This window comes from Homo sapiens, chromosome 19 (assembly GCF_000001405.40).
Source record: "Homo sapiens chromosome 19, GRCh38.p14 Primary Assembly".
Classification (NCBI taxonomy): domain Eukaryota; kingdom Metazoa; phylum Chordata; class Mammalia; order Primates; family Hominidae; genus Homo; species Homo sapiens.
In genome coordinates, this window is record NC_000019.10 from 13,104,321 (window position 1) to 13,127,196 (window position 22,876).

The 22,876-nt window shown below is 54.8% G+C and overlaps 2 protein-coding genes and 1 long non-coding RNA gene across 10 annotated transcripts in view, besides 16 other annotated features; 2 read left to right on the plus strand and 1 right to left on the minus strand.

Moving 5' to 3' along the window:
* Nucleotides 1–80: an enhancer, noted in NCBI's record as "active region_14107". NCBI's record gives its function as "activates an Ori minimal core promoter by ATAC-STARR-seq in GM12878 lymphoblastoid cells {active_cell/tissue: GM12878}" and the evidence as "EXISTENCE:reporter gene assay evidence [ECO:0000049][PMID:35858748]".
* Nucleotides 1–591: a biological region, named in NCBI's record as "Sharpr-MPRA regulatory region 14065". NCBI's record gives its function as "regulatory_interactions: LYL1".
* Nucleotides 11–591: a transcriptional cis regulatory region, noted in NCBI's record as "genic|chr19:13215145-13215725 region (GRCh37/hg19 assembly coordinates) targeted for CRISPR interference". NCBI's record gives its function as "positively regulates LYL1 gene expression in K562 cells {active_cell/tissue: K562}" and the evidence as "EXISTENCE:mutant phenotype evidence [ECO:0000015][PMID:31784727]".
* Nucleotides 15–309: an enhancer, noted in NCBI's record as "tiled region #14065; HepG2 Activating non-DNase unmatched - State 12:CtcfO". NCBI's record gives its function as "activates a minimal TATA promoter and a strong SV40 promoter by Sharpr-MPRA in HepG2 cells {active_cell/tissue: HepG2}" and the evidence as "EXISTENCE:reporter gene assay evidence [ECO:0000049][PMID:27701403]".
* On the plus strand, nucleotides 96–586 carry LOC105372282 (uncharacterized). The gene is made up of 2 exons (XR_001753871.2): nucleotides 96–324; nucleotides 488–586. It is a non-coding gene; the product is annotated as an uncharacterized LOC105372282 (long non-coding RNA).
* Nucleotides 221–280: an enhancer, noted in NCBI's record as "active region_14108". NCBI's record gives its function as "activates an Ori minimal core promoter by ATAC-STARR-seq in GM12878 lymphoblastoid cells {active_cell/tissue: GM12878}" and the evidence as "EXISTENCE:reporter gene assay evidence [ECO:0000049][PMID:35858748]".
* On the minus strand, nucleotides 587–12,420 carry TRMT1 (tRNA methyltransferase 1). Of its 6 annotated transcripts, none has more exons than NM_001351761.2 (17): nucleotides 12,333–12,420; nucleotides 11,826–12,020; nucleotides 11,677–11,732; nucleotides 11,306–11,448; nucleotides 10,959–11,146; nucleotides 8,576–8,691; nucleotides 8,385–8,497; nucleotides 5,838–5,986; nucleotides 5,595–5,681; nucleotides 5,449–5,518; nucleotides 5,230–5,364; nucleotides 5,061–5,146; nucleotides 3,431–3,539; nucleotides 3,254–3,330; nucleotides 1,167–1,286; nucleotides 947–1,076; nucleotides 587–761 (listed from the first exon to the last, which is right to left on the minus strand). In NM_001351761.2, exons 2-17 carry the CDS (start codon nucleotides 11,969–11,971, stop codon nucleotides 615–617), a joined length of 1,872 nt encoding a protein of 623 aa, NP_001338690.1. In that variant the 5' UTR covers nucleotides 11,972–12,020; nucleotides 12,333–12,420; the 3' UTR covers nucleotides 587–614. The 6 variants fall into 6 exon arrangements, with proteins under 6 accessions (NP_001338690.1, NP_001129507.1, NP_001338689.1 ...); NM_001136035.4 differs by having other exon boundaries at nucleotides 11,826–12,111; NM_001351760.2 differs by lacking the exon at nucleotides 5,595–5,681 and having other exon boundaries at nucleotides 11,826–12,111.
* Nucleotides 1,641–1,720: a silencer, noted in NCBI's record as "silent region_10191". NCBI's record gives its function as "represses an Ori minimal core promoter by ATAC-STARR-seq in GM12878 lymphoblastoid cells {active_cell/tissue: GM12878}" and the evidence as "EXISTENCE:reporter gene assay evidence [ECO:0000049][PMID:35858748]".
* Nucleotides 5,331–5,831: an enhancer, noted in NCBI's record as "H3K4me1 hESC enhancer chr19:13220465-13220965 (GRCh37/hg19 assembly coordinates)". NCBI's record gives its function as "activates a minimal SCP1, AML or CMV promoter by ChIP-STARR-seq in naive H9 embryonic stem cells {active_cell/tissue: H9 hESC(naive)}" and the evidence as "EXISTENCE:reporter gene assay evidence [ECO:0000049][PMID:30033119]".
* Nucleotides 12,414–12,603: an enhancer, noted in NCBI's record as "active region_14109". NCBI's record gives its function as "activates an Ori minimal core promoter by ATAC-STARR-seq in GM12878 lymphoblastoid cells {active_cell/tissue: GM12878}" and the evidence as "EXISTENCE:reporter gene assay evidence [ECO:0000049][PMID:35858748]".
* The window catches only part of NACC1 (nucleus accumbens associated 1), a 24,296-nt gene continuing 13,951 nt past the window's right edge, over nucleotides 12,532–22,876 (plus strand). Inside the window, exons 1-2 of one of the 3 annotated variants that reach the window (XM_005259721.4) lie at nucleotides 12,532–12,615; nucleotides 13,674–13,811. The gene's annotated coding sequence lies outside the window, so the exon portion shown is untranslated. Of the gene's footprint in view, nucleotides 12,616–13,673; nucleotides 13,812–13,943; nucleotides 14,406–22,876 lie in introns of those variants that run through there. The other 2 variants (NM_052876.4, XM_047438118.1) reach the window with 2 other exon arrangements.
* Nucleotides 13,564–13,713: an enhancer, noted in NCBI's record as "active region_14110". NCBI's record gives its function as "activates an Ori minimal core promoter by ATAC-STARR-seq in GM12878 lymphoblastoid cells {active_cell/tissue: GM12878}" and the evidence as "EXISTENCE:reporter gene assay evidence [ECO:0000049][PMID:35858748]".
* Nucleotides 13,754–13,953: a silencer, noted in NCBI's record as "silent region_10192". NCBI's record gives its function as "represses an Ori minimal core promoter by ATAC-STARR-seq in GM12878 lymphoblastoid cells {active_cell/tissue: GM12878}" and the evidence as "EXISTENCE:reporter gene assay evidence [ECO:0000049][PMID:35858748]".
* Nucleotides 14,504–14,553: a silencer, noted in NCBI's record as "silent region_10193". NCBI's record gives its function as "represses an Ori minimal core promoter by ATAC-STARR-seq in GM12878 lymphoblastoid cells {active_cell/tissue: GM12878}" and the evidence as "EXISTENCE:reporter gene assay evidence [ECO:0000049][PMID:35858748]".
* Nucleotides 14,989–15,490: an enhancer, noted in NCBI's record as "H3K4me1 hESC enhancer chr19:13230123-13230624 (GRCh37/hg19 assembly coordinates)". NCBI's record gives its function as "activates a minimal SCP1, AML or CMV promoter by ChIP-STARR-seq in primed H9 embryonic stem cells {active_cell/tissue: H9 hESC(primed)}" and the evidence as "EXISTENCE:reporter gene assay evidence [ECO:0000049][PMID:30033119]".
* Nucleotides 15,491–15,991: an enhancer, noted in NCBI's record as "H3K27ac-H3K4me1 hESC enhancer chr19:13230625-13231125 (GRCh37/hg19 assembly coordinates)". NCBI's record gives its function as "activates a minimal SCP1, AML or CMV promoter by ChIP-STARR-seq in primed H9 embryonic stem cells {active_cell/tissue: H9 hESC(primed)}" and the evidence as "EXISTENCE:reporter gene assay evidence [ECO:0000049][PMID:30033119]".
* Nucleotides 17,955–18,024: a silencer, noted in NCBI's record as "silent region_10194". NCBI's record gives its function as "represses an Ori minimal core promoter by ATAC-STARR-seq in GM12878 lymphoblastoid cells {active_cell/tissue: GM12878}" and the evidence as "EXISTENCE:reporter gene assay evidence [ECO:0000049][PMID:35858748]".
* Nucleotides 18,395–18,444: an enhancer, noted in NCBI's record as "active region_14111". NCBI's record gives its function as "activates an Ori minimal core promoter by ATAC-STARR-seq in GM12878 lymphoblastoid cells {active_cell/tissue: GM12878}" and the evidence as "EXISTENCE:reporter gene assay evidence [ECO:0000049][PMID:35858748]".
* Nucleotides 19,008–19,667: an enhancer, noted in NCBI's record as "H3K4me1 hESC enhancer chr19:13234142-13234801 (GRCh37/hg19 assembly coordinates)". NCBI's record gives its function as "activates a minimal SCP1, AML or CMV promoter by ChIP-STARR-seq in naive H9 embryonic stem cells {active_cell/tissue: H9 hESC(naive)}" and the evidence as "EXISTENCE:reporter gene assay evidence [ECO:0000049][PMID:30033119]".

Sequence of the window (22,876 nt, forward strand, 5' to 3'; positions counted from 1 at the left end):
CAGGACTCTTCGTTAACGTTACTAAACCCCACTCTGGAGGGCAGGGAGGGGTACAGCTCCCCCTCACTGGGTGTCTGGGCAGCAGCCTGCGAGGTCCCTCTTTGTGTGCACGCCCCCCTCGCCCCGGGCCTCAGGGCAGGAAGCACCTGGTCTGGAGCGGATGCACAGGGCGCCTGGTTCCGGTCCAGCTTCCGCCACTGTGGCCCCTGGAGAGCTGGGCCAAAGAAACCAGGCGGCGAGGAGGCAGCGGCGCGAAGACACGTGGGGGCTACCGGGCAGGAGCGCCCCACTATGCGCAAGCCCGTGGCCTGGAGAGCGCTGAAGGTGGGAGGGGGAAGAGGGGCAGAACCCCCGCGGGAGCGAGCGCACAGCTGCCGCCCCGTGGCCGCTTCGGGAATCGCTGGCTCCGGCTCTGGGGTGGCTCAGTGACCCTCGCTGCAGAGGGGCCGACCACTGTGCAGATGGTCAGCTCCTACCTCCCATACAGACTCAACACTCCAGCCAGGCAGGGGCGAACGATCCCCAGAGGAACAGATCCCAGTCATGCAGCTGTATGGACCAATACACAAACCACAGGCAATCGGGAGAAGGTGACGTGACATCTCTTTATTGGTTCAGTCTATGCCTGGCCCAGCGGCAGCCCCAGGTCCAGGGGGGGTCTGGTTGGAGGTCTCTGGACAGTCAGGGGCAGCATCAGCAGAAACCCTGGGTGTCGGGGGGCTGTGGGAGTAGCAGCACTGGTCCCCGCGTTGACAGGTGCCCTGGTGGGAAGATGGTGGGTGTGAACCCCTGCCCGGAGCTCAGCAGCCCCTGATGGGATCCTTTCCTGGGATGGGAAGCCCACTCCCAAACACTTGCCTGGCCCCAGCTCCCCCAATTCTCTCCCTGTTGCCCAAAGGGGAGACTCATGTGTCCTGCAGTGGAGGAAAGGGAGGAGGGACCTCACCTCCTTAAACCTCTTGCAAGGAAATGTCTTGAGCCGGGCAGCCCGCTGGGCCACATCTTCCGGCGGCTCCTTCCGCTTGTTCTGAAGCAGCCTGCGTCTCTCCTCCATAGCTTCGTCGGCCGCCTTGCCCCTGTGCGAGGGGAGGAGTAGGTGGGACCCCATCTGCCCTTTACCCCTTCTTTCCCTGGCTGAGCCCCACCCCCACCTTACCACCACTCACCCTGGCCGGGCACGAGGCCGGGGACCCCAGTTGGCCTCCGGGTTAGCCTGGAAGCGCTTGAGTCCTCGCTGTCGGGAGCTGGGGTTGGCATCTTCCCGGATGGTGAAGTTGGCCTGCAGCCTAGGGAAGCAGGGGTGGGGCGTTGGGGCTGGGGGAAGCTGCCACACGAGTGTGTCCCCACTCCCCACAGGGCCTGTCCGCCTCCACAACACAGCACGAGGTGTCTGCTCATGTCAGGATTCTCTCATTCATCTAATAAACATTTTTGGTTTTTTTAAAGAGATGGGGTCTCGGCCAGGCACGGTGGCTCATGCCTGTAAATCCCAGCATTTTGGGAGGCTGAGGCGGGTGGATCACCTGAGGTCAGGAGTTCGAGACCAGCCTGGCCAACATGGTGAAACCCCATCTCCACTAAAAATACAAAAATTAGCCAGGCGTGGTGCCGGGTGCCTGTGATACCAGCTACTCGGGACGCTGAGGCAGGAGAATCGCTTGAACCTGGGAGGCGGAGGTTGCAGTGAGCTGAAATCGCACCACTGCACTCCAGCCTGGGCAAGAGAGTGAGCCTCTGTCTAAAAAAAAATAAAATAAAGATACAGGGTCTCACTCTGCTGCCCAGGCTGGAGTGCAGTGGTGCGATCGCCATCAAAGCTGCAGTCTGGAACTCCTGGGCTTGAGCAACCCTCCTGCCTCCGCCTCAAGCTCCTGAGTAGCTGGGACGACAGGCAGGTACCACCATGCCCAGCTAATTTTTTTAGTTTTCTGGTAGAGATGGAGTCTTAATTACTGTGTTGCCCAGGCTGGTTTCATTCCTGGGCTCAAGCGATCTTCCCGCCTTGGCCCCCAAAGCACTGGGATTATAGGAATGAGCCACCATGCCTGGCCTTAATAAACATTTTTATTTAACGACTGTGTGCCTGCATTGTTCTCAGTGCTGGGAATAGACAGTGAACAAAATGGACAAAAAGTTACCCCTGGTATGCTGGTAATGCTAATTTTCTTTTCTTTTGGGATGGAGTCTCACTCTGTCGCCCAGGCTGGAGTGCAGTGGTGCGATCTCGGCTCACTACAAACTCTGCCTCAGGTTCAAGCGATTCACCTGCCTCAGCCTCCCGAGTAGCTGGGACTACAGGCATGTGCCACCACACCTGGCTAATTTTTTTTTTTTTTTTGTATTTTTAGTAGAGACAGGGTTTCGTCATGTTGGCCAGGCTGGTCTTGAACTCCTGACCTCAGGTGATCTGCCTGTCTTGGCCTCCCAAAGTGCTGGGATTACAGGTGTGAGCCACTACGCCCAGCCCAGTCAGCAGATTTAGTTATTTTTATTTTTATTTATTTATTTATTTATTTATTTGAGACGGAGTCTTACTCTGTCACCCAGGCTGGAGTGCAGTGGCGCTATCTCGGCTCACTGCAAGCTCTGCCCCCCGGGGTTCACGCCATTCTCCTGTCTCAGCCTCCCGAGTAGCTGGGACTACAGGCACCTGCCACCACGCCCGGCTAATTTTTTTTTTTTTTTTTTTGTATTTTTAGTAGAGACAGGGTTTCACTGTGTTAGCCAGGATGGTCTCAATCTCCTGATCTCGTGATCCGCCTGCCTCGGCCTCCCAAAGTGCTGGGACTACAGGCATGAGCCACCGCACCCAGCTATTTTTTTATTCTTTTTGAGATGGAGTCTCGCTCTGTCGCCCAGGCTGGAGTGCAATGGCGCGATCTAGACTCACCGCAACCTCTGCCTCCCAGGTTCAAGCGATTCTCCTGTCTCAGCCTCCTGAGTAGCTGGGATTACAGGCACCCACCACCACACCATGCCCAGCTAATTTTTGTATTTTTAGTAGAGATGGGGTTCCACCATGTTGGCCAGGCTGGTCTTGAACTCCTGACCTCAGGTGATCCACCTGCCTCAGCCTCCCAAAGTGCTGGGATTACAGGCGTGAGCCACCTACCCAGCCCCAGTCAGCAGATTTTGAATCTCACTTGAAGAATGGGCACGAGTCTGTGTGGGGCAGCATCTGTGTTGTCTGCACACACATGTGCTTCCATGTCTGTGGGCAGCCCTGGCCGCTCCTGCATGTGCTTGCCCCTACCTGGGCTCCACACTGAGAATGCGGAACGCTGGGCTAGTCTCTGATAGTCGCTCCCGTTTCACCGGACATTCCTTCTCCTGGGGGCAGAGGTCAGAGGTTAGGGAATACTAGGCCCAAGGGACCTCCAGGTGACCACCACCTGCCCTCCCACCTGCATGAGGTCAGCCCTGCCCTCACCCAGCAACGCATGATGTCCCAGAGGGCAGAGGCAGGGGCATCCGTCTTCACAGCGTTCTTACAGGCGTGGGAGAGTGAGACCCGGAAGTCAGCGTGGAGGAGGGCCGACCTGGGGAACAGCAGGGATTATGAGGGAGATGCCGGACTCCTTGACCCCAAAGCCCAAGCTGACCAGCGTAGGTAAGACTACCTTCGGCAAGGGCTCATGGCTACAGAGTTCATTTCTTTTCTTTTCTTTTTTTTTTTTTTTTTTTTTTTGAGATGGAGTCTCGCTCTGTCGCTCAGGCTGGAGTGCAATGGCGCAATCTTGGCTCACCACAGCCTCCGCCTCCTGGGTTTAAGCGATTCTCCTGCCTCAGCCTCCCGAATAGCTGGGACTATAGGCATGTGCCACCACGCCCAGCTAATTTTTGTATTTTTAGTAGAGACAGGGTTTCACCATGTTGGCCAGGATGGTCTCGATCTCTTAACCTTGTGATCCGCCCGCCTCAGCCTCCCAAAGTGCTGGGATTACAGGAGTGAGCCACCGTGCCTGGCCTTCTTATTTATTATTTTTTTGAGGTGGAGTCTCACTCTGTCGCTCAGGCTGGTGTGCAATGATGCAATCTTGGCTCACTGCAGCCTCTGCCTCTCAGGTTCAACCAATTCTCCTGTCTCAGCCTCCTGAGTAGCTGAGATTACAGGGATGTGCCATGACGCCTGGCTAATATTTTGGTATTTTTAGTAGAGATGGGGTTTCGCCACGTTGACCGGGCTGGTCTCGAACTCCTGGCCTCAAGTGATTCGCCCGCCTCAGCCTCCCAAAGTGCTGGGATTACAGGCATGAGCCACCACACCTGGCCTTTTTCTTTTTCTAATTATTATTATTATATTTTAAATGGAGTCTCGCTCTGTTGCCCAGGTTGATGTGCAGTGGCGCAATCTTGGCTCACCACCGCCTCCTCCTCCTCCCAGGTTCCAGTGATTCTCGTGCCTCAGCCTCCCAAGTAGCTGGGACTACAGGCATGTGCCACCACACCCAGCTAATTTTTGTATTTTTAGTAGAGACAGGGTTTAACCATTTTGACCACGCTGGTCTTGAACTCCTGACCTCAAGTGATCTGCCCACCTCAGCCTCCCAAAGTGCTGGGAATATAGGCATGAGCCAATAAGCCTGGCCTAATTTTTTTTTTTTTTTTTTTTTTTTAAAGAGACAGGGTCTCATTTTGTCACCCAGGCTGGAGTGGCATGATCATAGCTCACTTTAGCATCAAACTCCTGGCCCAAATGATCCTCCCACCTCAGCCTCCTGAGTAGTTAGGACTATAGGCATGTATCACCATGCCAGGCTAATGGGTGTGTGTGTGTGTGTGTGTGTGTATACATACGTATGTATGTGTGTGTATATGTATGTGTGTGTACATATATATTTATTTATTTATTTGTTAGAGATAGGGTCTTACTACGTTGCCCAGGTTGGCCTCAAGTGATCTTCCTGCCTCAGCCTCCCAAGGTACTGGGATTACAGGAATGAGACAGTGCACCGGGTTCTCCCCACCCCCTCGCAAGTTCTATGCATGAGAATCCCTGGACTTGCCCCAGGCCACCCTGTGGTCTGGGACAGGCTCCTCCCGACCCCAGGGGCTCTTACCGCAACTGCAGGAGGCTTGGTGTGTTGCAGTGGATGGTGCTGCTCAGCTGGTCCAGGGTGTAGTACAGAGGCACGTCCGGGAGCTCCTGCGATGGGGGACAGGATGGGCATGAGTGGAGATGGACGGGCACAGGTGGAGCCCCCTTCCCCGTCACAGCCCGGCTCTCACCTCAGTGATGACGCTCAGGACCCCTCGGATCCGCTCCGAGGTGTGGAAGCGGCCGGGGTTAGCGCTCACAGCCTCCAGGACACGGCCCACAAAATCCAGGTCATGGATGGGCTCTGCCCACATGGGGCCACCAAGCTGGGGGCGCACCGGGGACAGGTGAGCAGGGACTATGACCTTCAAGACCCTCTTGCTCCTTTGCCTCCCCTGGCCTAGCCCTACCTGGTGTCGTTGCCCACAGTGTTCACACTCGGGGGTCACAGGGGGACCACAGGCTGCAGAGAACTTGGCCCTAAACAGAGAGGGGTGGTTGGTGGGGAGGGAGGAAAACCCTGGGACTCCCCTTCTTCTCCTTCCTCCCTGCTCACCGGCCGCTGGGGACTCCTGACGCTTTGCCGAGACGCTGAAGGTGGAAGGCCCCGCAGCCCACACACTGGAACACCAGCGCCTGCTTGCTGTGGGGGGTACCAGTGGCCACGAGTTCCCAGCGTGACCACGACACCCCAACTCCTCCCTTAGACTGGCTCTGTCCCTTAAGAAGCCCCAGATCCCCCAGGGCAAGGTCCTGTCTCCTCTCTCAATCCACCACCGCTCTCTGCCCCCGGGCTGACCTGGCTGAGGCCTTGACCTTGGCCTGGCCGGTGAAGACACGGACAAAAACACGCACGTAGAAGTCAGCGCTGATGCTGAGCAGCGGCACCACGAAGCGCTGGTAGCAGTTGGCGCGGAGGTCCAGGCTGTGCAGGACGATTCTCAGGGCCTGGGGGTGGGGGGTGGGTGTCAGCCTCCCCTCCACTATCCACCCACCCCACCAGGAGCCCTATGTGGTACTCACAAGTACAGGCTCAGGGCCAGCTCCCTGGGATCCAAGCCCACCCCTGAAAGTCCTGGCTGTGGGACCCTCAACAAGTGAGTATCCCCTCTCTGTGCCTCAGTTTCTTCATCTGCAAAATCACAACAGTCCCTGTCTGTGGCACTGCTGGGGGCACTAAACGAGTGAGGAAAGCATAGATCCAACCTATTCTGACCAGCATTATCGGTGTGCCATGTGGCATGTACTGAGGACCCACGTTCCAGCCCCCAAGGGCTCTGTGGGCAGGAAGTGGGGATACTAGGTGCTGTAGAACTGCTGGGGCCTGGGCCGGGCGTGGTGGCTCATGCCTGTAATCCCAGCACTTTGGGAGGCTGGTCAGGAGTTTGAGACCAGCCTGGCTAACATGATGAAATCCCCGTCTCTACTAAAAATACAAAAAATTAGCTGGGTGTGGTGGCGGGCGCCTGTAATCCCAGCTACTAGGGAGGCCGAGGCAGGAGAATCACTTGAACCTGGGAGGCGAAGGTTGCAGTTAGCTGAGATCTCACCACTGCACTCCAGCCTGGGCAACAAGAGTGAAACTCCATCTCAAAAAAGAAAAAAAAGCAAAACGGCTAGGGCTTTCCTGCTAGTGTGAGACTCTGATATGGGAAAGGAGACAGCATTTCCCGGGCTGACTTCATGACAGGACCCTTTAGGAACAAGGGCAAGAGCCCTCTGTGGACCACGCTGGAGTGCAGTGGCACTATCAAAGCTCACAATAACTTTGAACTCCTAGGCTCAAGTGATCCTCCTGCCTCAGCCTCCAGAGTAGCTGGGACCACAGGCATCCACCACCACACCTAGGTAATTTTTAGGGTTTTTTTGTAGAGATGGGGTCCTCGCTATGTTGCCCAGGTTCCTGACCTCAAGTGATCCTCCCACCTTGGCCTCCGAAAGTGCTAGGATTACAGGCATGAGCCGCTGCACTTCGCCACTCAGCCTTCTTGAATCCTGATCAGACACTCAATAGGGTCAGACCATTTTTTTTTTTTTTTTTTGAGACAGAGTTTTGCTCTTGTTGCCCAGGCTGGAGTGCAATGGTGCCATCTCGGCTCACCGCAACCTCCACCTCCCGGGTTCAAGTGATTCTCCTGCCTCAGCCTCCCGAATAGCTGGGATTACAAGCACCCACCACCACGCCCAGCTAATTTTTTTTTTTTTTTTTTTGTATTTTTAGTAGAGACGGGGTTTCACCATGTTGGCCAGGGTGCTCTTGAACACCTGACCTCTTGAACACCGCCCACCTCGGCCTCCCAGAGTGCTGGGATTACAGGCGTGAGCCACCGCGCCCGGCCTATTTTTTTTTCTTTTTTTTGAGACAGAGTCTTGCTCTGTCGCCCAGGCTGGAGTGCAGTGGCACAGTCTCAGCTCACTGCAAGCTCCACCTCCTGGGTTCACGCCATTCTCCTGCCTCCGCCTCCCGAACAGCTGGGACTACAGGTGCCCGCTACCATGCCTGGCTAAGTTTTTGTATGTTTAGTGGAGATCAGATTTCACCATGTTAGCCAGGATGGTCTCAATCTCCTGACCTCATGATCCGCCCACCTCGACTTCCCAAAGTGCTGGGATTACAGGCGTGAGCTACCACGCCCGGCCTATTTTTTTTCTTTTTGAGATGGGGTCTCCCTCCCAGGCTGGCGTGCAGCGGAGTGATCTTGGCTCACTGCAACCTCGCCTCCTGGGTTCAAGTGATTCTCCTGCCTCAGCCTCCTGAGTAGCCGGGATTACAGGTATCTGCCACCATGCCTGGCTAATTTTTGTATTTTTAGTAGAGATGGGGTTTTACCATGTTGGCCAGCTGGTCTCAAAGTCCTGACCTCAGGTGATCCACCTGCCTAGGCCTCCCAAAGTGCTGGGATTACAGGTGTGAGCCACTGCGCCCGGCCTTCAGACCATCATTGTGCCCATTTTACAGATGCAAAAAAACCCGAGGACCAGAAAGGTGAAGTCACTTGCCCAGAGCTACCAGCAAAGCTAGGATTTAAACCCAGTCCTGGAAAAACGACCTTTAAAAAAAAAATTTTTTTTTGAAAAGTTGTTTTAATACAGAAAACTAAAATAATGTGGCCATGCACTCCTGTCCTGGCCAAAGCCACTGTCCCCAAATGACCATGATTATCAGCCATGCTCTTAGGAACTATGTGGGTTGAAGACACGCCTGTCGTTAACAGCCTGGGATGCATCTGGCCATCAGCCTGGAGGAAGCTGAGCAGGTCTGAGGAGGGGGAAAGTGTATTGGGAAGGGACTCAGACAACCACCTGTCCCCCGGTCTCCCTGGCTGGCTGGCAGAGGGCCCCTCACCATCTCGTGGCAGGCCCGGCTCTTGAGGGCCATGGCCCCGTACTTGCTGTAGCACGTCTCCCCGCTGTTCCCCGCCAACACCGCCATGTCTGTGCAGGTCACACACAGCAACCCTGCAGAGAGGGGCTGGGCAGTGAGAACCCTCCAACACCCCAAGCCCTGCTCCCACCCCAGTGCCATCCCCACCTCACCTCCTTCACTCACAGCCTGCACAGCTGCATCCAGGAAGGTGGCTGGGCTGCCATAGGGGTCCAGATCGATGACGTCAAACCTCTCCGACACCCTCTGGTGCTGGTACATCAGCATCCTGGGTGCAAAGAGGGCCAGGTCCTCAGCCTCCCACGCCAGGTACCTTCTCTGTCCCCTACACATATTAACTCGTACAGCACAGTGGTTTGGGTCTGAACTCCGGGGCCAGATTCCCAAGTTCAAGTCCTGGCTCAGTCATTTATTTATTTATTTATTTTATTTTTGAGTCGGAGTCTTGCTCTGTCAGCCAGCTGGAGTGCAGTGTTGTGATCTCGGCTCCCTGCAACCTCCGCTTCCCCAGTTCAAGCAATTCTCGCGCCTCAGCCTCCCGAGTAGAGTAGCTGGGACTACAGACATGTGCCACCACGCCCAGCTAATTTTTGTATTTTTAGTAGAGATGGGGTTTCAACATGTTGGCCAGGCTGGTCTCAAACTCCTGACCTCAAGTGATCCATCCACCTCGGCCTCCCAAAGTGCTGAGATTACAAGTGTGAGCCACTGCACTGGCCTTGGTCATTTATTAAACTGCACAATTTTCCTACTTAGGAAAAGCACCATGTGGAACTCAGTCCACACATCTAAAACAACAACAATACTGATATAAGACGTATCTGCCTGACACCATTTCAAGCAGTTTATAGATGTATTAACACATTTTTTTTTTCCTTTCTTTGGAGACAGAGTCTCGCTGTGTCACCCAGGCTGGAGTGCAGTGGTGGGTTCTCGGCGCACTGCAACTTCCACCTCCTGGGTTCAAGCGATTCTCCTGCCTCAGCTTCCCAAGTAGCTGGGATTACAGGCACGTGCCACCATGCCTGGCTAATTTTTATATTTTTAGTAGAGACGAGGTTTTACCATGTTGGCCAGGCTGGTCTCGAGCTCCTGACCTCAAGTGATCCGCCCACCTCGGCCTTCCAAAGTGCTGGGATTACAGGGGTGAGCCACTGCGTCTGACCTCATTTTAAAATTTTTGTAGAGACGGGTTTCACTGTGTTGCCTAGGCTGGTCTTGAAATCCTGGCCTCAAGCGATCCTCCTGCCTTGGCCTCTCAAAATGCTTGATTACAGGCATGAGTCACCATGCCCAGCTAATTACTTTTCATTGTCTGTGATTACTATTTGGATTCTAGTAAGGTCAGAAAAGTAAAAACTTTTTTCTCTGTAAAAGGTCAGAAGGTATTTTAGGCTTTGTGAGTCATATGTGGTCCCTACTGCATAGTCTTCTTTTTTAACCTTTAAAAATGTAAAAAACATTCTTGGGTTGTGGGCCATTGATAAACTAGGCTAGGCCGGGCGCAGTGGCTCACGTCTGTAATCCCAGCACTTTGGAAGGCCGAGGTGGGCAGATCACTTGAGGTCAGGAGTTTGAGACTAGCCTGGCCAACATGGCAAAACCCTGTCTCTACTAAAAATATAAAAATTAGCCTGGCATAGCCAGGTGCAGTGGCTCATGCCTATAATCCCACCACTTTGGGAGGCCGAGGCGGGCAGATCACGAGGTCAGGAAATCGAGACCATCCTGGCCACCATGGTGAAACCCCATCTCTACTATAAATACAGGTGGGTGTGGTAGCAGATGTCTGTAGTCCCAGCTACTCAGTCGGGAGGCTAAGGCAGGAGAATCACTTGAACCTGGGAGGCGGAGGTTGCAGTGAGCCAAGATCACGCTAGTGCACTCTAGCCTGGGCAACAGAGCGAGACTCCGTGTCAAAAAATAAATAAATAAATAAAAATAAAAATTAGCCAGGCGTGGTGGCACGTGCCTGTAATCCCAGCTACTCGGGAGGCTGAGGCAGGGGAATGGCTTGAACCCGGGAGGCGGAGGTTGCAATGAGCTGAGATCGTGCCACTGCACTCCAGCCTGGGCAACAAGGGCGAGACTACATCTCAAAAAACAAACAAACAAGCAAACAAACAAAAAAAGGCTGTGAGCCCCACAGGCTATAGTTTGCCAACTCTTGCGAAGGTCACCAATTTTGCATGTTTTGTTTCCTGATGCATTTCCAGTTCTTGAAAACGGTGCCTGACACATAGCAGACACTGGATATACTATGGCTCATTTGAATGAATAAAAGGAGTGTAAGAAGTTAAAACAGAGACCAGGATGCTACTTATTTCTGGCACAGAGTATGGATCATACCATAATTATCTATTACTCATCACAGCAACCCCTGTAAAACTAATTTTCTCAGTTGACAGACAAGGAAACTGGGGCTCAAAGAGGCTAAGTCACTCACTCAAGGTCACAGAGTGAGAATGTGACAGAGCCAGAATTTGACCCCAGGCAGGCTTGTCCCAGAGCTAGGCTGTGATGCCCAGAACCTACCGGGCATCTGCTTGGCTCGGCTGTACCAGGTGGGCCACGTCATTGAGCTGGACATTCCGGCGTATGAGATCCACAGCCCGGGTGGAGGCATCGTTTGCAACCACAGATCTGAGCCCAGGCACCTCTAGGGCAAATCGAATGGAACGTAGGCCTGAAGCTGCCAGGCCTTCCAGCACATGCAGGCCTTCCTGTTGGAGTAAGCAGAAAACCTCCCTCACATCTCCACCTCCATCCTCTTCTGGGCCCCAAGGAGCCCCCACCACCCACCTCCTATAGCTCTCCCCCTCCAGGAGCCCTCTGTCTCCCGCTAAATTCCAGGGCTGCCAGCTCCTATGCTCAGGCCCCACCTCACAGATCTCCCCCACGGCCGCTGTGCGAGGTTGGTCTCCTGAGGCCAGGTTTTCACTCTCTTTCAGTTCAACCTTTTCCTCCTCTTGCTCTGACAAGTCCACGACCACTTTTTGCGTGTCCTTCTCTCCTGGAACCTTGACTGCAGCCACCCAGAGGCACAAGTCAGAGAATAACAAGGTCCCCTCTGAGAAACCTCCCCTTAATCTCCAAAATATCGTCCCTGAAATCCCTGCGGAAAGGCTGAAGGAGCAGAACCCAGGGCCTGCTATGTGGCTGAAGCCCCTCTGGATTTGGGCGGCAGAAGAGCCCAGGCAGGGAGATAAACTTGTGTGACCCCCGCCCACCAGAAGCCTGGACCTCCACTCACTCTGGATTCCTTTGGCCCCAAGCTGAATGCGAGCAAACTCGGTGATCACAGCACATCTGGTGGGAGACAGAGGACTAGCTCATACCCCGCCCCCGCCATCCACACTGACCCACTAGCCGATGCCAGGCTAACGTCTGACCCCTGCTCACGTCAGGTCCCGATTGAATTCCTGCACCGGGTTATAAAAGACCTCGTTGGCACTGGGAAAGGCGATTTTGGCAGCCCCCTCGGTGACTGTCGTCTCCTGGACTTCACGTGGACGTTCTTCTCCGTAGGGCCCGGTGCCGTTCTCCATCGCTGCTGTATTCGGCAGCCCTGGAGACTGCCACTCGAAAAACCGGGCTCTAGAGAGCACCCGGGCGGAGCGGAAAGTGAGGCTTAGCCACAGAGACGATCCTTGCATGAGACATCCGCTGGCGCCTCCGCCCGCCAAGCCTGGTTCGGGGGGCGGGGGAGGGCACAGAGAGGGTCAGAGAGCCGCATTCCGGGCCCGGGGATGTCCTACATATCTATGAGGTAGGGACTAGGAAAACCTGCGGCCTCGGTAAGCTGATATCCCCTCGTTTTGGGGATGACTGGTCCCTGTGGAGCCGATGCCCTCGTGCAGGCCCGCCCCGAGTCCGAATCCCTCCCCGCGCTGCCTAGCCCGTCCTCACCTGCTCTCGTAGCCACAGAAAACCGAATTAGTCAAGGTGCACGTTTCCCGAATTAGGACCTGGGCGCCGCCATGTTGGCACAGTGGGTGGGCGAATCACATGATAGTGGTTGGCCAGTCAATGAGGAAACGTACGGTGGGCGGCCGGGATCAAAATGAAAGCCATAAAGGAAGCGCGCTGATCGTGCTGTTCCGGGGGTGTTAATCACAGTGGATCCCCTGGGAGAGGACACGTCCCTAGTCCCATTTCACAGATGAGGAAGTTGTGGCTCAGAAAAGGGGCGGTAAGCGGAGAAACCCAACACTTATTGGTCCTCTTCTGTGTTCTGGGTGCTATATACACATTATTTCAGAGCACCCTGCAGGAATGACTCAGGCTCTGGAGTTGGATTTACCGGGTTTGAATCTCAGTCCCATCACATGCTCTGGGCAGGTTACTCCCGCGGCTTCACTTTTCTTACCTATTAAATGAGAATCGTGGTTTCTCAGATAGAGCAAAGATTAAATGACAGATTCCTGGAAAGTGTGCAAAGAACCACTCTAACATTGTAAGCGCTCGGTAAAGTTCTAACCAGTGTATGAAGGCAGGACAGCGAAGTGGTCCCGGCTACCTGGGTTCCAGTCTCAGCTCGCCCTGCGACTTGTTAACTCTGAACTTAAGTTACCGCTTTTGCAAAATGGGCAGAACTTTTTTTTACCATTTGTTACTGGGTTGTAGTGAGAAGTAAACGAGTTAGTGCAGGTAAAATGCTAACAGAACCTAGCATCCGGTAAGCATCATAAAAGTCTTAGGTCTTATTGTCGCTTTTGAGCCTGTGTTTAAATCCTGGCACCTACCATCACTTCCTTGCTGTGTGATGATCTTGACCAGCTTTCTTCATTTCTCTGTGCCTCCTTTTCTTTCTTTCTTTCTTTTTTTTTTTTTTTTGAGACGGAGTCTCGCCCAGGCTGGAGTGCAGTGGCATGATCTCGGCTCACTGCAACCACCGCCTCCCGGGTGCAAGCGATTCTTCTGCCTCAGTCTCCCGAGTAGCTGGGATTACAAGCGCATGCCATCACGCCCGGCTAATTTTTGTATTTTTAGTAGAGACAGAGTTTCACCATATTGGCCAGGCTGGTTTCGAACTCCTGACCTCAGGCGATCCACCCACCTCGGTCTCCCAAAGTGCTGGGATTACAGGCGTGAGACACCGCGCCCAGCTGCCTTTATTTTCTATAGTGTGTCTGTAGCAGTTCTCACTAAAAAATGTTACTGTGTAGTTTAAACGAGCTAATTCCCATAAAGAATGTAACGCAGTGCCTGCCACAATAAACAGCAGTCATTATTGTTTTTGTTTTACAGGAAACTAAAGTTCGGAAAGGTAGAGCGACTTGCCCAAGGTCGCGGGACTAGAAGGTGGCGGGGCCAGGATTCGAACCATCGAGCTGAGCCGACGTACTGGCGAGGATCCCCCAGGGGCATAGAGAGGAGACGGAGCCGGTTAGAAGGGGCGCGCTCGGAGCTCGGCTGGCCTCGCCTGGAGGGCGGGGCCCGAGGGCGGTGCGCGGGCGGGGCCGGGGCCGCTCCTCCCTGGCCTGGCTGCGGCGGCAGCGCGGCTTGCGCTCGCTCGGCGCTCGGCTGGGGCGGCCTGGCCCACAATGAATGGCCGCCGCGGCTGCCGCTGCTGCTGAGGCGGAGGCCGCGGAGGCCGCGGAGGCGGAGGCCGAGGCCCCGGCGCAGCGGGGCGCGCCCCGGGCCCAGGCCCGGCCCCAGCCGCCGCTGCGGAGCCCGCCGGGACCCCCCGGAGCGCGGCCACGGCGCAGGTGAGGCGGCCCGCCTCAGGCCCGGTTCCGGCCTCCTCCAGCCGGGGCGGCCCGAGGGCTGAGTGGGGAGGGCCTGGGTGCTTTCTCGGACCGAGGAGGAGCCGGGCCCGCAGCCTGCACTGTGCCCGGGCAGGCGAGTGTGTGGAGGCCCAGCTACCGCGGGCGGCCTTGAGCGTCCAGCCCGAGCTTCAGGGCTTGGGGGCGGCAGGATCGTACCTGGACCGCTCCCCCGTCTCCCAGCGAGGGAGGGGGCCAGGTCGGGCCGGGGCAGGTACCGGGGATCCGGGGAAGTTGGAGGGTCCGAGGCGGAAAAGTGAGGAGGTTCTCGTGGATGCCGGAGGGGGAGGGGGAGGGGGAGGAGGAGTCGGGCTCCGGCCAGGCCGAGTGGGGGAGGAGAGGAGAGCGGCGCGGCCGGAGGGGGGCGGGGAGGGGCCGGGCCTGCAGGTACCGCCTGGGCGCTGGAGGAGGTGGGTGGGTCAAGTTACAGGCCTGGGGGCGGCTGAGGAGAAGCCCAGGAAGTGGGGCACGGCGGGTGTGGGCGGAGTTACTTCGTGTGGGGGCGGATAGGAGATCCCAGAGATGTTTTCCGGGGGTCACATGAGGTCAGGACTCAGATGTGGGGAGGGGGAGGCTAGATGTGGGGGCGATCAGGTAAGGTGAGGGACTGCTGTAGGAGTTTTGGGAGTCGAGAGAGCAGAGCCTTTTGGGCTAGGCTAGGGGGGATGTGGGGGCAGGTCAGGAAAAGCTGGTGTGACCAGAAGGTATATACTAAGATGCGCCCCCCACCGCCCCCAACTCAAGTGTTAAGGGGTTCCGTCTTTCTCACACCTCATCCCTGAAGCCTCTAGAGTCCTGACCCTACCCCTTGGGCAAGCCTCTGCCAACTGTTCAAAGGCACTGGCCAGTGGGTGTTTGTGTGGGCAGCTGGAGACAGTCTGGAACACCTAGCTTAGGCATCTTGTTTATCACAAGGTGGCCCTTGCCCACCCCCACCTTATATATCTACAGGGAGGCAGCCCAGCAGACGTTACCTGGGTATTTTAGGATCCTGCATTCTTTCTCTACCTTTTGTGGCCAGAAGCTGGTGGTTCAAGCCTAGTGGATGGGACCTCACAGCAACCATCGTATATATTAGTACCATGGCCTCCCAGGCACCAACTCCTTGAGCCTGAGTTCTGTGTGCCATCTCCCTGGGGGTGAAGAATTAGAGGGAATGAGCATGTAAAACTCTGTTGATGGTGGTTTGGAGGCTCCCGACGGGGTGAAGGCAGGGCACAGAGAAGAGTTAAGGGGATCAAATCAGGCACTCACACCCTGGCCCAGGGATCTACCTCTGGGACACTCGTCCTGGGCCAGGCCCTGTGCCGAGCTCGCTGGTCGGATGAGCTCATTGATGGCTCACCACCACCAGTTCAACTTAGGCCTTCTCTGGGGTCCAGACGAGGAAGCTGAGGCTCGGGGTGGTGTGGCTTGTCTCAGATCACATGAGCAGACAGTGGCTGAACTGGGATTGTCTGACCCTCAGCCCAAACCCATAGTCACTCAAGTGGCCTTCCAGGAGGGTGACTGAAGGAGCTCCTCGTTCTGGATTCCCTGGCGGGCGTTCTCCTCCGTCCAGGCCTTCCCTTCTGCTCACCCCGGGGGATGGGTCAATCCCCTTTGGGACAGACTGAGTTTCCATGGTGTCCCCGGGGAATGGAACAGTGGAGGTATCTTTCTCGGAGGCCTGGTCACCCCTTCTTCCCCATTTCCCTCCTGGGAGCCAAGAGGTCAGGAGTCATGGAACTGTGGGCTGACCGTGGGAAGCTGAGGAGGCCTGGCACCACCAGGGCTGGACTTGACTTTGCTTGCCTAGACTGTTTTTGCCCCACTTTGGCCCCCAGTCGGATGGCAGCAGCTTTTGTTCCTTTCTGGGCTAATTGCAAGGCTGTTACCAGGGTGTCCTTGGGACTTTGATTTGGGATCTTCAGCACCTGAGGCAGGAGCCACAAACTGCTGGGTCAAGTGGTGTCAGCCAGTTCTGGGTTTAATGATGGGTTGTCACCCTAATTCTCCCCAGTCTCCCTATAGTTCCCAGGACACCCTCCAACCTGGGCCCTGCCCTTCTTGCCTGTCTGGCTAGCCACTTGGTTCTAGGAGGAGTAGGAACTGGGCCAGCAGTCCCGCAAAGAGACTGAACCATCCTTCCTGGCTGGTTGGGCCAGGATTGCTGCAGGTCTGCTTCAGCACAGACTGGGTCCTCCTGGACCTAAGCTGGGTTGGATACCAGGGATAGGGGATTGGTGGTACCATCCAGTCACTTAGCTGAGACTGTTGGGAGTTGGCCCTGGTGAGTGGGGGACAGGCAGTGCCTCAGGCAGCTCCGGTTTGTGCCTAGAGGTAGAGGAGAAGGCACCAGTAATAACTGCTTTTCGGTGAGAACTTAGCATGCACAGACTCTGTGGGGGCAAGTGCAACAAGTAGGCAGCCCGTTGAGACAGTTTTATTTCACTGCTGGGTGCTGACTCCCCGCTGGGGGCTGGGGAAGCATCCCGGAGTAACAGATCCAGAGCAGCTAGCTCTCAAGCGACCAAACTTTCACAAGCAAAGGATCAAGATAATTTCACATACTTCTGTGTTTACAAAGATGGTGTAGCAAAGTGAAGTCATTATGAGCCATGAGGGGATGGGGAGGTTTCGATGGGTGGCCGGAAGTGTTCCCGGAGAGCTAAGATCTGAATAATAATGTTAGCTAAGGGGTGGGTGGTGCTGGGGCGCAGGGAGGGGTCAGTGTTCTAGGCTCAGGGGACAGCACATTCACAGCTTTTCTTGAGTATGTACCAGTCTTCTTCTGAGTGCTCTAAACATTTTGTCTTCATGAGGGAAGGAGTGGGGGGATGACCCTACTGTGGAGACAGAGACTCTAGTACCATTCACAAGAGAGTGAAGCCCTGTCTCTGGGTCTCCTGGATCTGCCCATCACCCCCAGATGGAAGTTCAGAACCCCTTGGCCTGCATCTAGGGTATTTAAAAAATCTGGCCTCCTGGCCGGGCAGCAGGGAGCCCCAGCAGGTTCTTGAGCTGGGCTTTGAGGAGATGTGAGTTTTGGTCAGCCTTACAGGGTCTATTGAAGGAGTCTGCCTGGAGGCCCGGGGGTTTGGAGAGAGTTTGGGGTTGGCCCAACATTGTCTGACCCTAGATTTCATCAGTGTCATTGCCAGAGCCTGTGTGGAGAGAGGGATCCCATCAGGCTTGGTGGGGCATATTGCTTTTGGGATGGTGGTGAGCCACCGGGGCTGGAAAACATGAGTCAGTGTTCATGCCACTCTGCGTCCTCAGATCCTCCGTGCCCCTCGTTTCTCCTCCTAGGTTGCTCTCAGCACTTGTACACACTCGAACTCATTTAAGCCCGTGGCTAGCAGGTCCTGCCTGTTATCATCATTTGACACACAAGGCAACTGAGGCACCCTAGTCCTTCCTTCACACAAGCTGCAAAGTGGTCTGGCTACCACCCCTGTGCCGCCTTCCAGCCACTTTCATGTTCCTCGTGTCTGCATTTGCTCCTCAGTCCTCTCAGCCGCTACTGCCTTCCCCTAGAGAACCCTCTGGGCCGCATGAGGTGGGGCCGGGAGGTGGGACTGGGCCTGCTTGCACATTAGGTGGGGTGAGGACCAGCCGAGCCGGCAGAGGTGACGTGTCTTAGGTTGTGATCTGTGTGTGGTTGTGGTCATGTCCCTCCAGCCTTCTCATGTGCTGCCTCCTTGGCGAAGGTCTCAGTTCTTAGAGACCTGTGCGTCTTCTCTGAGGGCTTTGACTGTGTCCAGTTCGTGGTTTCTAAATCGAGCAAAGGGAGAGGGTAGGTAAGGGTGAGCAGACACGGTCTAGTAGAGAGTGAAATTTCACACTTAGCACCACCCCTGTCTCAGCCATGAGACTCTGGGCAAAGGTCTTTACCTCTGAGCCTCAGTGTCCTCCTCTGATAAGGAGTGACAAGTGGGCACAACTATACTGCTGTGATTCGCAACTGGGTACAGTCCTACCTCCGGGGACACTTGGGGAATGTCTGGGGACATTTTTGGTTGCCCCTGCCGGGGGGGGGGGGGTGTGCTGCTGGCATCTAGTGGGTTTATAGGCCAGGGATGCGGTTCAACATCAGACAGTGTGTAGGGCAGCCCCCACCACAAAGAATGATTGACGCAAATGCAGTGGCTGGGTGGGGAATCTCCACTGTCTGGTTATCATGAGGTTTGCGGGAGAGGTTGGCGTCTGGGGTGTGAGTGGACAGTGCTGTGAAGGCTCTGGGGAAAACCCCAGCGATCACTGCCTGTTAATCCCATGAAATGTGCGAGGTCTGGGAGATGGTGAGAGGCATAAGATGTCTTCTACTCCCAGGGAGTTTGCGGCCCAGCACGGGGCCAGGGGATACGACTAACAGCAGCTGGCATTCATGAGCACCGACTACGGGGCGAGCGCCGATCGGCCTGTGTTCTTTGGTTGTTTAATCCTTGAAATAGCCTTGTGAGGTGGCTGCTGCTGTCAGCCCATTTTCTAGATGGGAGACTGATATGGGGGGTGAGCAGTATTGAGGGTAATTCTGAGTGACAAGCTCTATAAGGGATTTGAGCCTAGTACAATAGTAGGATTCAAAATCTTAGGTCCTGCGTGGTTCCCTAGCACAGCCCAGCAGGCCCCTCTCCCAGGATGATCCCCATCCCTCCACCCTCCTTTGTGTTAGCGGCACCAGGGTCACCTCAGGGCCTTTGCACTTACTGTTGTTCCCTCCACCCTTGGTTGCCGCCACTGCTGCCCTGTCTTTTGGGTATGATCTGATTACACGCAGGGAGTGGGATGTAACTCCGAAGGGTGGGCTTATGGTTGGAGTTGGTGGGGAGGGAGCGGGCAGGCTGCGAGCTCCATGAGGACGGAGGCAGAGCTTCTGCCAGGCTCTCCAAGGAGCTGGAGCTGCTGCCTGCAAAGGGAGGCCAGATTGCCGAGGGCTGCGAGGAGGAGCGAGTGGGAGGAGGGAGAGGCAGCACGCGGAGACTGCTCATTCCCGGAGATGGTGGTTGCAGGGAGAAGGGGCTAGAGAATAGCTGCAGTTGGGAGGATTGGGAAAGGAAGAATGAAAAGAATGAAGAAGGCCTTCCTTGGGGATTAGAGAGAGGGCACCCCAGACCCTGAGGTGGAGGTCCTCAGACAGGCAGAAGACCCTGTTTCTGGAGAGGACACATCCAGTAGCTCAGGTAAAGAGCCCCAGCTCTGGGCTCGGCCGGTCCGGGGTTCCCGTCTGGTCTCTGCCTTGCTTCTCTGAACACCAGTTTTCCCACCTGTGAAATGGGTCTAGTCACAGCTGCCTCACATTTTTGCCTGATTCGGGAGCCAGACGGCCTGGGTATAAACCTGTGCCTGCCATTCACCAGCTACATGTTCCCCACCTCTGGCTTCACCTCTCTGGGCCTCATTCCCATCCATGAAATGGCAGGCAGGCTCATTTCTTCCTCAGAAACTGTAAAGAAGAGTAAGTTAAATGAGCCTGTCTGAGCCCTGGCCAGGTATGGGCCCAGTCAGTGAGGCTTGAGTAGGGGACACTGTTACTAATCCTATTCCACCATGGATTTAACAATAGTCATTCAGGGAAAGAGATAACGAATTAAATCTGTGGGTGTATAAGAAAAAAAATACAGGCCAGGTGCAGTGGCTCACGCCTGTAATCCCAGCTCTTTGGGAGGCTGAGGTGGGCGGATCACTTGAGGCCAGGAGTTTTGAGACCAGCCTGGCCAACATGGAGAAACCCAGTCTCTACTAAAAATACAAAAATTAGCCAGGCATGGTGGTGTGTGCCTGTAATCCTAGCTACTCAGGAGGCGGAGGCACGAGAATTGCTTGAACCCAGGAGGCGGAGGTTGCAGTTAGCCGAAATCACGCCACTGTACTCCAGCCTGGGCGACAGAGGAAGACTGTCTCAACAAAAAAGAAAAAAAAATACTGATGCAAGATGAGGTCTTGCTGTATTGCCCAGGCTGGTCTCAAACTCCTGGCTTCAAGCGTCTTCCTGCCTCAGCCTCCCGAAGTTCTGGGATTACAGGTAGGAGTCACCGCCCCCCACTGAACAGTTTGTTCTTCACTAACTGTTTTCCTGGACTGCCTTCACATTCAGCCCCTACAGAGGGGTCTTTCTGGTTCTGGGTCAGGCAGGCAACCTGAGTAGCTGCCAGGATCCAGCCACATCCTGCTGAGCTGCATGAAGGACTGTGGGGCTCTCTGGGGCCTTTGTTCCTTGTTACACTTGGAGTTGCTGGTCTCCCTTAACTGGCTTGTAGGTCTTAGCCCATCTGGGCTGCTGTAATAAAATACCTTAGACTGGAAGCCAGGCACATTGCTCATGCCTCTAACCTCAGCATTTAGGAGGCTGAGATGGGAGGATTGCTTGAGCCCAGGAGTTCGAGACCAGCCTGGGCAACATAGTGAGACCTCATCTTTACAAAAAAATTTAATTTTAATTTGTTTTTCACCCGTGACACAGCCCTCAGGAGGTCCTGAGAACATATGTCTCTCGTCTTTGCAAAAAATTGTTTTAATTAGCCGGGCGTGGTGGCACACATCCCTAGTCCCAGCTACTCAGGAGGCTGAGGTGAGAGGATAACTTGAGCCCAGGAGTTTGACGCTATAGTGATCCAAGATTGCACCACTACGCTTCAGCCTGGGTGACAGAGCAAGACCCTGTCTCAAAAAAACAAAACAGACTGGGCCATTGATAAACAACAGAGATGAGCTGCTCATAGTTGTAGAGGGTGGGAAGTCCCATATCACGGTGCTAGCAGATTCCGTGTCTAGTGAGGGCCCATCTCTCATAGATAGCACCTTTTAGGTATCTGCACAGGGTGGCAAGGACAAACAAGCTCCCCCTCTTTTATACGGGCACAGTTCGTATTCATGAGGACAGAGCCCTCCTGACTGAATCAACTCCCGAAGGCCCCACTTTTTTTTTTTTTTTTTTTTTTGGTGAGACGGAGATTTACTCTTGTTGCCCAGGCTGGAGTGCAGTGGTGCGATCTTGACTCACCGCATCCTCCGCCTCCCAGGTTCAAGCGATTCTCCTGCCTCAGCCTCCCAAGTAGCTGGGATTACAGGCATGTGTCAGCATGCCAGGCTAATTTTGTATTTTTAGTAGAGACGGGGTTTCACTGTGTTGCCCAGGCTGATCTCGAACTCCTGATCTCAGGTAATCCGCCTGTCTCTGCCTCCCAAAGTGCTGGGATTACAGGCGTGAGCCACTGCACCCAGCCCTTTTTAAATTTTTGATCAACAACTTCTTTTTTATTTTGAGATGGAGTCTTGCTCTGTTGCCCAGCCTAGAGTGCAGTGGCGTGATCTTGGCTCGCTGCAACTTCCACCTCCTAGGTTCAAGCAATTCTGCCTCAGCCTACCTAATAGCTGGGATTACAGGCGTGCACCACTGCGCCCAGCTAATTTTTGTATTTTTAGTAGAGATGGGGTTTCACCATATTGGCCAGGCTAGTCTCCAACTCCTGACCTCAGGTGATCCGCCCACCTCGGCCTCCCAAAGTGCTGAGATTACAGGCGTGAACCACCATACCTGGCTGAAAGGCCTAACTTTTTTTTTTTTTTTAGACGGAGTCTTGCTCTGTCACCAGGCTGGAGTGCATTGGCCCGATCTCGGCTCACCGCAACCTTCGCCTCCTGAGTTCAAGCGATTCTCCTGCCTCAGCCTCCCGAGTAGCTGGGATTACAGGCACGTACCACTGTGCCTGGCTAATTTTTTGTATTTTTAGTAGAGATGGGGTTTCACCATGTTAGCCAGGATGGTCTCTATCTCCTGACCTCGTGACCTCGTGATCCGCCCTCCTCAGCCTCCCAAAGTGCTGGGGTTACAGGCGTGAGTCACCGTGCCCAGCCAGCCCCACTTCTTAATACCACTACATTGGAGATAGGCTTTAGCATGTGAATTTTGGGAAGAGGCAAACATTCAGACCATAGCATCTGTCGACGGCCATGTCACAGCTTCCCTGGAAAGACATCAGGAAAGGACTGTGCCTTTGACAGTCTCTCACAGGCCCATGCTGGCTGGGGAATTCCTCAGCTCTCTTCCCTAAGAGCTGACAGTTACTACTCCCAGGAATCATCCTGCCAGCCCCCTTCCTGCAGATGGCAGGATCCACCGGCAGTGTGAGCAATTCGTCAGGTAACACTGCGGTCTCAATAGGCCCCTGACTGCTGGCTACCCACCTTGGCAGCTGTCAAAGGAGGTCGTCTGTCTGCCCAGCCACAGATAATGCTTCTGAGCCCTATTCCTGTTTGAGCCACGTTAATGTGGAACAAAACAGGGAGTTAGGTTAGGAGGAATGGAAGTAATTCTTTGTTCATTTTTTCCACGAAGGACTGTGAGCACCCACTGTGTACCTGGCCAGGTCCTAGGGGTAGAGGACACAACAGGGATCTACACAGGCAAACTCCCTGCCCCAGGGAAACTGACATGAAGCCCCAAAAAATGCCCAGTTTGGCAGGGGTGGTGGCTCGCACCTGTAGTCCGAGCACTTTGGGAGGCCAAGGCAGGAGGACCACTTGAGCCCAGGAGTTTGAGACCAGCCTGGGCAACATTAGGGAGACCTCGTCTCTATTACTAAAAAATGCACAAATAAATAATTTTTTTTTAGAAAAAGAAAAATGGCCAGCTTGCTAAATAAATCATAGGAACTCCCAAGAAGGATAAGTCAAGCAGGGAGAATCAAGCCAGGGAGTTAG